Consider the following 15,676-nt stretch of genomic DNA (forward strand, 5'->3'; position numbering starts at 1 on the left):
ACTGTGAAAGGCAGGTCTTATCATTTCCAGCCATTCCCACAGTGACACAGTGGCTCGCAAGCACAATAGTGCAAATAGGTAATCATAAATAATATTTATGTCTTTAAAAAGTATCTTTTTGTTAGGCTCAATTATCTTGGAAAACTATGGTTACGGTCATGAACAATTACAAAAATGCATAACAGATAACTCTTACCTGTTGGAATTCGAATATCTATATTGGATAATGTAGCTAAACCACTGCCCCATGAAAAGTATCCATTTGTGACCTACAAAATAAAAATACAGAAATTAAATTATATGTGTGGTATCAATGAATAATTCTAATTAAAATAATAATTTGTAGGCCAGGCGCAGTGGCTCATGCCTGTAATCACAGCACTTTGGGAGACCAAGGCAGGTGGATCACAAGGTCAGGAGATCGAGATCATCCTGGCTAACACGGTGAAACCCCATCTCTACTAAAAATACAAAAAATTAGCCGGGCGTGGTGGCAGGCGCCTGTAGTCCCAGCTACTCGGGAGGCTGAGGCTGCAGTGAGCCGAGATCGCGCCACTGCACTCCAGCCTGGGTGACAGAGCGAGACTCCATCTTGGAAAAATAAAATAAAATAAAATAAAAACTTGTAAGTACTAAAAGACTCAACCCAAGGTAGAACACACAACGGTGAAATTCTGATTTAGAGTTACGGCTATTTAGTGGTATAAATGAAAAATTAGAAAGAATGAAAGTGAAAGGAGGGTCTTTAAATTTGCGATATTATGAAGAATGCTAAAATCTCTGAAAATTTGGGATTACCAGATAGTTTACATATGGACATTCTTAAAAGACAATTATCCCAAACATTTCCCAATGAAATCTCTACATTAATTATTTTCTCACTGCCAGACAATTCCCCAAATCCTAGTGATTAAAATAAAGCAGAGAAATAACCACAAATTATTCCAGCAAAATGACTTCATTAACTGAGGAGGAAAATTTTGTAATCAATGAGTTTCCTGAACTGTGTAGGCCAACTATTCACTGAAGTTAAAAAAAAAGAGTAAAGAATAATAAAAGAAGTGAGGCAACATTGCTTGTGGTATAAACGTCAATAATCAGGAAAAATCACAATACCTTCTATTCATCCCACACAATCTATTTGTTTTAACAAGCTTCAAGTGGACTTAATAGTTTTACCAGTTATACAAATAGGAAATAAAACAGTAACAGAACCCAGGAATTAGAAGGATGAAGTAGACACAGATGAGGGGAGGAAAGGCTCCTAAAAATCAGGAGAAATTGAAGATACACTTTGCTCATAAACTAATGTTTTATTTCAAAACCATAAATGAAATTTCTAAGCACACTGTTGTTTAGGAATTTTGCAGAATGGATTTGTGATATCTGAATTATAACTACATATAACCCCCAAAACCCTTCATAAAATGAATAACTTAAAGAGTGAAAAACTGCTTGAAAAGGCTAGCTTATGTTTGTCCATGCAGGTTTTCTGTAGCTTGTGATATATATGGCACAACATTTAGTAATATCCATCACACAGTTATGTGTGAAATTAGTCATGGAAGGAGGGTCGCATGGAAGGGCTGGATTCGAATTACTGATTGCTTTGTAAATATGGCTGATCATCCTCACTCTGTTTGAGGGACTGTGTTAGGCTGGCATAGATTACAAAGAAGGCATAATGCATCCTCCCTGCTCTCTTGAAGCTTGCAATCAGTTGAGTAAGTAAACCATGGAAAGAAGTGAGTACAAGACACGACATTATGGGCTCAGTACCAAAGAGAGGGGACACACAGACACTAAGTACAACAGCAGCTCATAAAGAAAATCATTTACATCTGGGATGAGTCAAAAAACTTTTTGGAAAAAGAGGCCTTTTAACTAGTTTTGTAAAATATACTGAATGTCAATGAAAGCATTTGTAGGTAAAGAACTATAGTGAGAATAGGCTGAAGATCAAAAAAACCGTAAAATATGTCAGAGGAAATGATGAATAGAGCTAGCTGGGGCAGAGGTGGCTGGGGCTGTCATTATGGTTAAATGACAAATGGCATGCAAAGAAATTATACAGCCTCAGAGGCTGAAGATTCCATTTTCTCTCCTAGGGTAGGTGAGGAGGCTAAAAGAGGCACAAAAATAGATGCTTGTGGACAAGGGCCAGCATGAAACTAAGAGAGACCCTACATGACACCGTTGATGTTCTCAGCAAATTGGGAGCTAAGGTGATCTGGAGAAAGAGGAGACAAAAGGAGAGAGAAGGAGGTGGGAATAGAGTGGTGACAGCTGCATAGCTACTGTAGGTTTGGAAAATAATGCTGCTAAGAGACATGTAAAAGGATGGCAGATAGCTATTGGGGGAGGGGAGTCAGCTGAGGTTGGAGATAATAACTCTGTGGCCATGCTGGCCTATATCATTGTGTCACCTTCTCCATAGCACTCAGCAGCCTGGTTATAGATGTGTAGAAGGCATAAGGTTGGATTGCTGCAGAAAGGTACTAAAGGACTGGGAGAAAAAGAAGGAGTTCAAGATATTGAAGGTTTCAATGGTGTTAAAAAAAAAACAATGACCGTGAAATTAAAGGCTTGAGAAAACTTGGGTACCAGGATTTTGTTGTCAGTGACTGACTAGTCTAATAGAGTAAGATAGAGGGGATGCAGTTCCAGGTGGTGACCAAGTGTGAATCCAAATTATATGAGTGTGAAATTAAATTATATGTGTGGTATCAATGAATAATTTCTAATTAAAATAAAAATTTGTAAGTGCTAAAAGACTCAACCCAAGGTAGAACACACAATGGTGAAATTCTGATTTAGAGTTATGGCTATTCAGTGGTATAAATGAAAAATTAAAAAGAGTGAAAGTGAAAGGAGGGTCTTTCAATTCGTGATATGATGAAGAATGCTAAAAATCCTTTAGTACCTTTCTGCAGCAATCCAACCTCATGCCTTCTACACATGTATAACCAGGCTGCTGAATGCTGTGGAGAAGGTGACACAGTGATACAGGTGAGGTTGTGTAAATGGAGTGACAGTAGATTAGGGGATTTTCAGGCTGGGATACTGGATAGACTGTGCCCTTGGAAGTTTAAATCCTAACTATGTGTGGCACATACAAAGACAGAACGGTGGACTAGGAAACATACTCACATCTACAGTGAAGGTGGAAGAGTGATTATGAGGTCCTCTGATAATAGATGTGAAAACAGGTAGAAAATACCATAGCTTTATGAGTGTGACAGGGAAAGGTTATGGTCTGAAAGTAGCAGGAAAGAACTAAAAGAATGCAATGTCACCTTCTGATTTGGTGCTACATTGAAGTAAAAGAAGGAACAACATCCATACAAGAAAGATAGAAGAGGAGGAAGGCTAAAGTTAATTTCTCCTGCTGCCATTTACACTTCCATTCCCTCCTGCCTTTTACAAAATGCACTAAATTCCCCACCAGCAGGGTTAAAATCCTGACTTCCCCAACTAGATGTCTGAACTTGGAAAGTCAGCTAATATATAAATCAGTCTTTGCAAAGGATCATGTAAGGATAGGTACAATGATGATCATCATAACGGGGTTTATGATAGAGGAAAGATGGAGGCAAGCTCAGTGTACATCACTAGGGGATAAGTAAAATGCAGCGACACATTCTACAAGATACAATGGTGCACTTAGCAGAAGCAAACGATCAAGAAAACATTCAAGTAAATTGAGAGCACATAGACACTTAGGACAACACTACATATTTTACAAAGATATGGGCATGCCTAAGCACATCAAGCACATTAGAGCTGGTTCTATAATGATGGGGGTAGGAGGTATGTATATTGGGGATGAGGTGACTTTGATAGGAAGGAGTATCAGGCATACAGGGAAAGAATGAATTAAAATTTAAAAGCAGGAGCCAGATAGACACAAAATGTCACCTAGTATATGATTCCATTTATATGAAATATCCAGAACAGGCAAATCCATTGGTTGCTGCCTGGGGCAAGGCGAGTGGGAAATGGGGAGCAATTGCTTAATGGATTTGAGATTTCCTCTTGGGGTGATGAAATAGTTTTGGAACTAGGTAAAGGTGGTGGTTGCACAACATTGTGAATGTACTAAATGCCACTGGATTGTTGACTTTGAAATGGTTGTCTGCTAAGTGAATTTCACCTCAATGAAAAGAATTTTTTTTTTTTAAATTTAAAGGCAGGGCACACACAGACCATTGTCCATTTTCTCCTGCTGAAAATAAGTAACAATGCTGAACAAAATTTGGTTTGTAAAAAATCTCACTAAAAGAAGCAGTTAGGAAATTCCAAGTCCAAAATATAAGGAAAAAATACAAATTCAAAGGTGTGAGCCCCAGAACACCTAAGCCTCTTTCCCCCAAGGGTCCAAGTATAGCTAAGAAGGAAAAAAAATCCAGTTATAAAGACTTGTTCTAAAAGGTGTCAATGTTCGTTAGAAAGCTATAGTAATCATTACAGCGGAGTACTGAACACACATAAATCTGAGAAAAATAAATGAAGGCTATCAGTTGATTCACACACATATAGATCCTTGATGTGTAACTGATATCACACTGAAGATCAGTGGGGACAGTGATCAATAATACATGGGGCTAGGCAACTAGATATCACACTTGAAAACATTAAATCAGACCTTACTGATTTACTACTAAATTTGGGAAAATGACTACTACTAAATGTACTACTGCTACATTTATGATTTACTAATAAATTATTCATCCCTGATTTACCTACTAAATCACATCCCTACTTCATACTAAACACAAAAATTGATCTTATGTGTATTAAAGGACTAAAGTTAAAAAGTGTAGCTTCAAAGCTTTTAGGAGCTAATATGGAACGTCTTCATGGCCTCTGGGTAGGAAAAGTTTTCTTAAATAAGATGAAAAACCAAAGCATTAACCATAAAGGAAAAGTTGTATCCTAGACTATATTAAAATTAAGAACTTCTGTTCAATGAAAGATATCATAGAGTGGAAAGCCAAGTTACACAGAGTGGGAGAAGAATTTTGCAACATATGTGACTGTCAAAGTAGTACCAAAAATTTTTAAAGAGGAGAAGGACAAACAACCTGGTAATTCACAAAAGAGAAATCCAAACTCAAACCCCAGTGGCCATTTTCATAAATATATCTTATATCGAAAGTTGCTTGACCTTATTTGTAATCAGAAAAATGCAAATAAAAACCACAGCAAGATACAGTTACACCTCTCCCAGCACACAACACGTGGCAAAAAAATGAGAAGCATTTTTTTGGTGAAGATGTAGAGCAACAGGAACTCTCAGTCACTTCTGGTGAAATTGTAAATTGGCACCATCACTTTGGAAAGCAGTTTGCCATTATCTAGGAAGGTTGAGGATGCACATACCGTACAACTCAGCAACTGTTCACAATAGCCCCAAACTGAAAAATACCCAACAGACCATCAAAAGTAGAACAGATAATTAAATTCTGGTATATTTATAGAATGGAACAATTTGTACAATAGAACAGCAATGAGAGTGAATGGATTACATTTATAAAATATAGGTGAATTACACATACATAGTGTTGAGCAAAAGAAGCAACACACACACACACATATACACATATTTAAACTTTTAAGAAACTAAAAATATGTTCTTAGGGAAGCAAGCATAGCAAGAATAATCAAGGAAATGATGACTATAATTGCCACAGGGTGGCAATTATATCTCAGGGAAAAATATAAGAAGACAGCAGATATATGTGTTGGAGCATTTTCTGAGGGAGCTGCTGATATAAATATGTACTTCTCTGCAGTATGTTGTATTTCACAATAAAAATATTTCAAAAATATATTATTACCAATTTGTGAGCTTTCACCGTAAATAAAAAATTAATTTGGGCTTGAAAGTGAGCCTGAAACTGCGGAGGCCATTCAGAAGCACAGCAAAGTCAAAGCCATTGATAAGCAGCTATTTTTCTTAATGCATGAATGGTCAATTTTGGAAAAAAAATTCATAATAGTCTCTCTTTTCTTTCAAAAAGAAAATTAATGAAACACATGGAAAAGACATATTTTTAGATTCCTACTATAGTGAACAGAAAATGTCAATTAAAAACTGGCCCTGTTTTTTATTCACCAATACATTAGTTGTTATCTGGGCATAGTGGGGAAACAACAGCATAGAGGACCATTTCCAATCTCTCATTCCTTATCTTTTCATAGCCCCTAGTTCACACACTGCCTGAACATTATAATCGCCTAGGGAACAACACACACACACACACACACACACACATTTTTTAAAGCTTTGTAAGTGATTCTAATGCATAGCCAAAGTCAAGAATCACTAGAGCTCTCTTTAAAATTCATATGTGACATATCCTTTTAACCCCAAAACAACCACACTAAAATGGCATGTCCACCTCAAGATGGGCAAACCATGGCTCAATGAGGCATAGTAATTTGCCCAAATATCATGCATCAAATTAGTGGAAAAGGGAGGGCTAGCACTAGCTTGTTCCACTCAATCACATGTTTGTTCTGATTATGAAGTGGCTATTGTGGTAAGGTATTGTGTCAGGTGTCAAGGAGAGAGAGACCTAAACATAGCTCTTGGCTCTACTATAAACCCCATACTGAGCCTCCCCGTCTCTGTGACTGGCCTAGGCTGTGCAGGAGAATTGGATATCCTCCAGTAGCCAATGCAGCCAGTTTGCTAAGTTTCCAGGACTCTGGCAGCTCCCATGGATGGAGGCCTTTGACTGCTGCCGGCAGCTCTTCCAATTCCTGCACAACACTGATTACTCCCTTTTATCCCCAACTCTCGGTTGCCTGTTCTGCCTTAACTTAAGCACAATGCCTGGGGAGAGTCCAAATAGCCAAGTTTGAAATGAGATCAAGGGCAGTACCGGGAAACTGGTGAATGCATACACTAGTCTGAGTCTCCCCTGATTGAAAACAATGACTATTTAATTTATATTCCTGAAATTTGAACTTATAATATTGGTATTCTCATTAATCAATTTATTTGGTTGATAAACATAGGAATACCAGAAAAAATACATGTGACACTAGCTTCTAAAGCAGATTCAGAAGAAAGTCACATTCTCTGGTTATTGAAATGTGCTGCTGGAGCAAAAATTGTGGTTGGGAGATGAGGAAGAACTGACAATTAAAACTCAGAATTTTTTTTTAAATGTTATTAGGGTTAATGACAACTGTAAAAACAATTTAAAGGCACAATTTGGGACACTTTCACAGAACTTCACCATAAAATAGTAACATAAATGTTTCTATTCATGTAAGAATCCAGGAAATAAAAATAACCTTTATTGCAATGTCCTCTGTTTCTGCGGGACGTAGACGCCGTGTTGATTGCTCATAGCTGTCCAGGTGATATCTTCCAGGCTGTTTCCTGTTTATAGTTTTTGGCTGCTGCATTCCAAATGGAAAAGAACACAAGTTGAGGCTTTATTAAAAAAATGAAGTTTTACTGAACACTTACTCACATTGCTACCTAAGTTCCAAGAAAAAGAAGTGGATGTTATATTTTAATTATTTCAGTGACTCCTTCATAAAAAAAAATGAAAAATTCTTAAGCTATAGTTAAACCTCATTCACATGCCTCTTGAGAAAAAATGAAAAATATGAAAATAGGATACTTGCAAATGATGGAAGTTAAAGTACAGAGTCCCAAACTAAGTTTTGGATAATCTTTCTCTGATGATATGGATGGATTATGCCCAGGCAATAAAAACAACTGCATGGTGTTAAAAGGTGATCAGATTAACTCAGGTCAAACTAGAATCCATCTGTTAGGCTATGATATGGTTTGGCTGTTGCGGGAGGGACCTAGTGGGAGGTAATTGAATCATGGGTGTGGGGATCTTTTCCCGTGTTGTTCTCGTGATAGTGACTAAGTCTCAGGAGATCTGATGGTTTTACATAGGGGAGTTCCCCTGCACATGCTCTCATGCCTGCCACCATGTAAGATGTGCCTTTGCTTCTCCTTTGCCTTCCACCATGTTTGTGAGGCCTCCCCAGCCATGTGGAACTGTGAGTCCATTAAACCTCTTTCCTTTATAAATTACCCAGTCTCAGGTATGTCTTTATTAGCAGTGTGAGAATAGACTAATACAGTTATCAGGCTTGTAAACATTCCACCCGTACATTATTGATAATTCTCTGAATCATGAGGATTTTTAATCTGATACACTCACATAAATCAGATTGAGCTACACGGCACCCAGCTTCTGCTATGGATTGACAAAAGCATAAAGATCTAGATTTTTTTTTGTCCAAAGATATTACAGTGTTTCATCAGGAGATCCATAAGTCTTATAGAATGATCTAGTCTATCTCAAATGTTATAGCCCTATTCCTAGTCAATGGACTAAAACATCCTTTATAAAGAGGATGCCAGCTGAGTTGTGACAGTCTTCACATATTTAAGGTGAATGTAAGTCATATCTAGAAATTTGTCATTCTCTAATTTTTTGGTTCAGTTTCACACAGAGATAAATGGCTAAAGAGAAAGTAGAATATTTAGCTCATAAACCTCTAATCTGGAAAAATTTTAAAGCTCAAAATTTCTTCCAGAAACATATTGAGTCAGTATTTCAACATAAATAATTAACTTTTTTTTTTTTTTGAAACAGAGTCTCACTCTGTCCCCCAGGCTGGAGTGCAGTGGCATGAACACAGCTCACTGCAGCCTTGACCACCGAGGTTCAAGTGATCCTCCCACCTCAGCCTCCTGAGAAGCTGAGACTACAGGTGCATTTGCCACCATGCCTGGCTAACTTATTTGCTATTTGTAGAGACAGGTTCTGCCTATGTTGCCCAGGTGGTCTCAAACACCTGGATACAAGCTATCTGCCCATCTCAGCTTCCCGAAGTGCTGGGACTATAGGTATGAACCAATGCACTCAGCCATAATTATCTTCCTACTCAAATACCTTATAGAGACTATGAAGGCTAAGTAATAATACACTTTAAACTGTTAAGTTACCTAGAAAGGAAACGATTCTAGAATTGTGAAAGTTGTTGGTTTTGGGGGGTTATTTTTTGGCCTGGAACTGCAGGTTTAGCTTTTTGAAAAATCCATTGGGTTTTACTATGGGAATTAGGAATGTACTCAAATAATCAGTAATTTAATCCAAACAAGATATTGCTCTTCCAATTTCCATCAACTGGTGTATCAAGAGAACACCCAAACTATCAAATAGTACATTGCTAGGCTACATGCAAATAAATACACAAATTAAAAAGCCACTGAAAAGATTAGAAAGTAAGACACTAGCAGTGGTTCTGTCACACAGAAAATACTAATATATTTTGACTTAGAGAGGAGGAGAGTATGTTCATGAACTTTATTTTAGTTTTGTTTTTCCTTCCTACAGCCCTCACAAATACTCCTGGAAGTACACTGCATGAGAGGTTGTAGAAAGCCACTATCCTTTAGGCTAAGTATATTTTCCATACAAAACAGGTCTACACCTACATATAAAATGTACTGTCTTCTAGAGTCTTTAATTCTGTAACATTATTGCCCCCACAGGTCCAAAAGAAATGACTTCATGCCCTTCACAAAACTAAGAACAGGGTGGGAAGAGTAAATGTGTTGACAGAGATTTGAGTCGAAGTTCCACAGATGTAATATGAAGAGACTTTGGCCCTAGACTGTCACTAATTCTCCATGGAGATTCTACAGCCAAAACCACTTAACTCTAAGCTTTTACAGAATACATAGTATCTTAAGCACTCTCAAGAAGGAGTTTCCATTAGTGTTATTTTCAAACACACAGCTTTTTTCACTCCATTTTAAAAAGTTTGTCATTTGTGGTTTGGCCCATCAGCAGTGATGAATGACCCTGAAAGACATCAAGAAGTCCAGTCTGGTTTCAATAACCCTGAAGATATTGGATGCATTTGAAGGGGATTCTTTTTTTCTTTCCAAAACCTTTTCTCAGTTCAATTTTTCTTCTATGCCACATCTCATACAAAAAAATTCTTCAGATTTCCCTAACTCCATGAACTTGACCTCCTATATGCCGTTTCTTGAGGTCATCTCACTCTGCTTATCCCCCTATCTCTGAAAGACAAGTTCCTTGGTAGTCTAGGACCATCCCAAGAGTGACGAGACTGGTTCTAATCAAATATTTGATCCCCTACTGCCTAAAAGTTTAGACACTCTTTAATGCATTTTTGTCTTTGTGTCCATGTCCCCACACTAACAAACAAGCATTTTGAGGCGTTGTTCCTCCAGCATATATAAACATGGCTGGTGGTCCCTTCTCAGACAAAATCACACCCGTTCAGTAAAACAACTTAACAGAAAGTGAAAAAACAAAAACAAAAACAAACACCTCCAGAACAACAGAAGGAAACGAGTCTAAATATATAACCACAAGATTGCCTTTTTTAGCAGTTTTAAACATGATTTAAAAATATATAATATAGATTGATTTCCTGGGAAAAGCTTTCCAAGTTCCAATCAGTTCCAGTCAGGAGACTGATTGTGTTGGTTCACATAAATGGTAAATATATTCATATTTTTTCTAATAGTAACAATTATAACTAACATTAACTTATGACTCACGGTGGAATAATGCTTTTCTACTTTGTGAAATATATTAATTTTTAAGAATTTCTTCAAAATTTTTTAGACACTTCCTTCAAGAAAGTAGTATAATCCAGTCATTGATTTAAATATTATCTAATGGCTAATGGCTCTTAAATTTATATCTCCAATGCTTATGTCTCTTCTTGGGTTAAGAAGTATCTCAAAACTTGCATGTGCAAAATGTACCTCTTGATTCTACCTCAACACCATCTCCTCATTTCTCAGCCTCCCTATTTCAGTTAATGGCTATATCATCTACCCAGAAGTCAAGCCAATAACCTAGGATTCTTCCTTGAGTCCTCTTTCTCCCTCATCTCCTCCATCCAATCTATCACAAGTCTGTATCAGCTCAACCTCTAAAGTGTACACTGAATTTGATCTCCTTTTTTCACAATATCCACTGCAACTGGACCAAAAGCTCTAATTCTAACCATCATCCTCTCCTGCCTATATTATTATAATGACTTCTTTACTGATCTACGTGTTTTACTCTTTGTCCTCCACTGACTTCCTTCTACACAGAAAACAACAACATAATCTTTTAAAAATATAAACAAAAATTATATTACTCCCTACTTTGAAACCTTCCAATAATTTCCTATTGCATGTCAATAAAATCCAAACTCTTTCCATGGCTTACGAGGGCCCTCAATCATTGTTCTCGCATCATCTCATCTTTCTCTTCTTCACCAGGCTCCAGCCACAGTGCCCCTCTGTTCCTTGAACACACCAAATTAATTCCTACCTCAAGATCTTTGCATCTACTAGTTCTCCTGCATGGAATGCTCTTTTCCCATAAGTTTTCAGGAAAGGTACCTATTTTTTATTCAGGTCTTAGCTCAAATGCTGGCTCTCCAGAAGGGCCTTCTTGGAAATGACCACCCTGCTTCAAGTACCCAATTCACTCTCTAATACCCTCTTTCATTTTCTTCACACAGTGAAACTATGTTACTGTTTTAATTTGCTTATCAATTCCTGCCTCAAGAAAGCGAATTCTGTGACAGGAAGGATATCACATGTCTTGTTCATTGCTACAACCCTAAGTCTTGGCACAAAGCACAGGGCAGCCAAAAAATAAAAAACACAGTCATATATTTAAATAAAGCTTATTCATATTACATGTAATGCATGACAAAATAATATTGACTATGTTTCTAGATTTTATGTAGATACTAAGTAAATATTTGTATCATGGATAAATGAACTGGTCTACAACTTACAAGATTCAAGTTTTAATTCTAGCTCTACCACTTAGTAATCTTATGACTTTATTTGAGCCTCATGACATGCAAAATAAAAAGAGCTAGAAAATAAAAAAGAGACAATGTAATGTAATTCAACTGGAAAATAAAAAGAGACAATGTAATATATTAAGTGGATCAAAAGATAAAATGCATCAGAAAATATGTTTTAAACTATAAAGTGTAGTATAGCTAAATGGTATTATAAGAAAATGGTGCATGAGTAAGCTTATTTGGTGTTATTTTTATATACATTTGGAGTAAGCAAACTCTCAATTTCCTTTTGAATTAAACACGTCTTGTCTCTTAGGATAATTTTTTCTGGATTTATAAAGACAAGCCTTATACATTCGTCTATTGATTTTAGACTTGTGAGGTTGTAGAGAAGCAAGTCGTGATTTTTCTTCACATGGGTTAAAAACTAAAGCTTATAATCTCTTCTAACTCAGTTGTATTAATCTGTCCATTCTGCTGAGACTGTCCTCTATTCACAACTTCCAAAACAAAAATAAAGCACTTACAACTCCAGTGTGCTTCTTACAGGACTCAAAAGGAAGCGAACTTTCACCAGTTCGCCAACTGTCGTCACCAATCTCATCACTCAAGAGAAACTCATTCAGCTTTTGAACACTGCAAAAAACAATAAACACAGAATAAGAGTTAACAATAAAACCACCACCAACAAAGTGCTACCTAAATAACGACTTTAACACACAGTATTATGGTGAGTAGGATGCCTGTGAGAGTCATTTTTCAAGACCAACTGGGAATTCAGCTAGATCGACCAAACATCCTAAATTGCTGAGGACAGAGGGGTTTCCAGGACATGGGACTTTCAGTACTAAAACCAGAAAAATGTCAGAAAAATCAGGACCACTTGTCACCCTAAATTCAACAGAACCTTCTTTGCATTTTTTTTGCAATTATATTCCTTGTCAAAAATAGTGAAGTTGTTTAGGAACTTGGAACAGGGTGGTTAAAAATAACACTAATGAGGAAAGTCCTCTTAGTATTCTAGTTTTACAAATGATGGGGAGGTGACGTACAGAGAAACTAAGTAACCTGCCTAAAACCATTTAGCATGTAATATGCAAGGATCTGGAATCCTTGGCCACTGTGTATCTTGCTTAAGCACTATGCATGATTCACATTTTCTGAACCTGGCAAGGAGAGGGGACTCTAGAGTCTTGCTGCTCAAAAGTTTCAGCCAAGGACCACCAGCATCAGCATCAACTGGGAGTTTATTAAAAACAGAAAATCTCAGCCCTGCCTCCAAATACGAATCACATTATGTATTTGACCAATACTCAGAGGCACTTTATAAACACCATTTGAGAGGCCCTGCTCTAGAAGACTGGTTTGCCAACATTCTTTAATGTGACCTCCTTAGGCTGGGCACAAGACTCCTTGGCTCATCTACTCTACCCATTCTAATTTTCTCAAACCAGTGTCATAGGATCAGGAGCAAAAATAAATAAGTAAAACAAAGAAAATGATAATATGCTTTGTAAACATCATCCTAGAAATAAAATAATATACAAAAGGAAATTCAGTGAAGTTGCAAAGGAAAAGAAGTGCTCCTTTTGGCAAGCTAGGATGCAGCAAGTGGGAAAACTTAACTTGGCACATGCAGCAGCAACTACAGGGGAGGTATTGCCTTTGATAGGAAACTAGAAAATATATGTATGAAATAAATGGTTTCTTTTTTAAAAATTTTATTTGAACTTATAGTCAAGTTCCTCCAGACAAGTCTTCAGAACTTGTTTTTTGTGACACAATAACAAAATGAGAAAAAGGTAAATTTAATTTAGTCTGTTGCCCATGATCTTTAAGTGTTTTGGCTTTGCATGCCATAGAAACATGATGGAAGACGAAAATCCATTGAGGCAATCTATTAGCTGTCAAATTGCACTTGCAGAGAACTAAAAGAGGTAATTATTTAGGAAGAGCTTCAGTTCATACACTTTCTTTGAGTCTTTGATAGCAAAGTCTGACCACATAGACTTGAAAAACAGTGTTATAAATGCGTTATGAAACATTATTTTATTCCTCTTAAATGGCAGTTATTTCTTCTTCACTTTTACAGATTGTAATTGTCATTCTGTTCTTATGTTTTGAAAAGATTTGATTTTAAGAAGCGCAGCTCTGTCAATCAAAGGAATACCTTTAAACAATCTCACACTATGTCTCTGCACAAAAAAACAAAGTGGAGAAGCCAGTCTCATCTGCCTTTATAATTCCAAATCTAGCAATGCCTGGCACATGTCATTCAAGGAATGTTTGTTCAATAAATCAAAGAAGGAATAAATCAATGATTCTGACATTAAGTAAAGTTGGTTGGTTCAATTCTCCATTCCCATTTCTAGTATAGATACAAATCACGAATCTTTCCAGTATAGACTCAAAGCTTTTATGGAATAAATGAGCCCCACTCTTCCTGAGCATTGGAAGCAATGGTCCCTGACCTTGATTGAGAATGGGGACGACATTCTCTCTTCTTAACACCCCACTTTGAAACATCAATGACAAGGACCATCAATGGATGCCAATACTAACCTATCTGTGAACCTCTTACTTCCCTTCCCCTCCCATGTCCCCAGTCATTCTAGGCTCTCTGGCTGAGGATCTCCAGCACTGATGTTTTGTCATTGTTGTTGTTTGTTCCATGTCTATCTCTCCCACTAGACTGTGAACTCGTTAGCAGCAAAGATTTTCATCTTTAGAATCTATCCCAATGCCTAAAATATAGCATGGTAATTCCTAAAGAAATGTCTGATGAAATAATAAATGGGTAATACGAAAAGCATTTTCTATTCATACGAGGTCCTTTCAGAAATCACAGAGGTAAAACAATTATGGAAAATGCACAAATCCTGACCAAGGGTGAAGTAATTTCCACCATGCTTCCAGGTTTATATTTTTAAAATGCAAATCTGTGCATGTAATGACCCGCTTCTTAAAGTGACAACTGGCATCCGGTTGCCTTTCAGCATCTTTAGCATCGTCTAAAAGCTGCTCAGGAGTTTACTCTCGAGCTTCATGCCTTGATACTTCCCACATCAGAACCCTTCCTCCAATGACACTGAACTACTTTTAATCTCCTGAAGATACCAAGATTTCTCACCTACTTACCCACTTCTTCCCTGTGAATATACTGCTCCTGCTGTTAAAACATGTTTTACATTTTTTCTCCAACTTGCCAAGTCTTACCTATTTTTAAGGATTCTATGAAAGAGTCACTACCTCCTTTAAATCTTTACCAACCTAAATGTCCAACAACAATAGACTGGATTAAGAAAATGTGGCACATATACACCATGGAATACTATGCAGCCATAAAAAATGATGAGTTCATGTCCTTTGTACGGACATGGATGAAACTGGAAACCATCATTCTCAGCAAACTATCGCAAGGACAAAAAACGAAACACCGCATGTTCTCACTCATACGTGGGAATTGAACAATGAGAACACATGGACACAGGAAGGGGAACATCACACACTGGGGACTGTTGTGGGGTGGGGGGATGGGGGAGGGATAGCATTAGGAGATATACCTAATGCTAAATGACGAGTTAATGGGTGCAGCACACCAACATGGCACATGTATACATATGTAACAAACTTGCACGTTGTGCACATGTACCCTAAAACTTACAGTATAATAATAATAAAATTTAAAAAAAAAAATCTTTACTGACCAGATAGTTTCCCTTCTCTCTCAAAAACTTCAAGGATGGCCATTATGGGCCATAGCATTCTTTGTATAGCTTTATAACACCATAACCCACCATACAGTAATTAGTTTCCCTTCCTGGTCTGTCTAACT

The 15,676-nt window shown here is 37.1% G+C and overlaps 1 protein-coding gene across 8 annotated transcripts in view; it reads right to left on the bottom strand.

Annotated features, from left to right (window-relative positions):
* ABCC9 (ATP binding cassette subfamily C member 9) overlaps positions 1–15,676 on the bottom strand; it is a 144,038-nt gene that overhangs the window by 78,069 nt on the left and 50,293 nt on the right. For all 8 annotated transcript variants that reach the window (XM_005253288.5, NM_001377274.1, XM_005253290.5 and 5 more), the window contains 3 exons: positions 12,369–12,477; positions 7,309–7,416; positions 197–269 (listed from right to left, as the gene is read on the bottom strand). In XM_005253288.5, coding sequence (XP_005253345.1) covers positions 197–269; positions 7,309–7,416; positions 12,369–12,477 — 290 coding nt within the window. The remainder of the gene's footprint in view (positions 1–196; positions 270–7,308; positions 7,417–12,368; positions 12,478–15,676) is intronic.

The sequence above is a fragment of the Homo sapiens genome, chromosome 12 (genome assembly GCF_000001405.40).
Source record: "Homo sapiens chromosome 12, GRCh38.p14 Primary Assembly".
In the NCBI taxonomy this organism is placed as follows: Eukaryota; Metazoa; Chordata; class Mammalia; order Primates; family Hominidae; genus Homo; species Homo sapiens.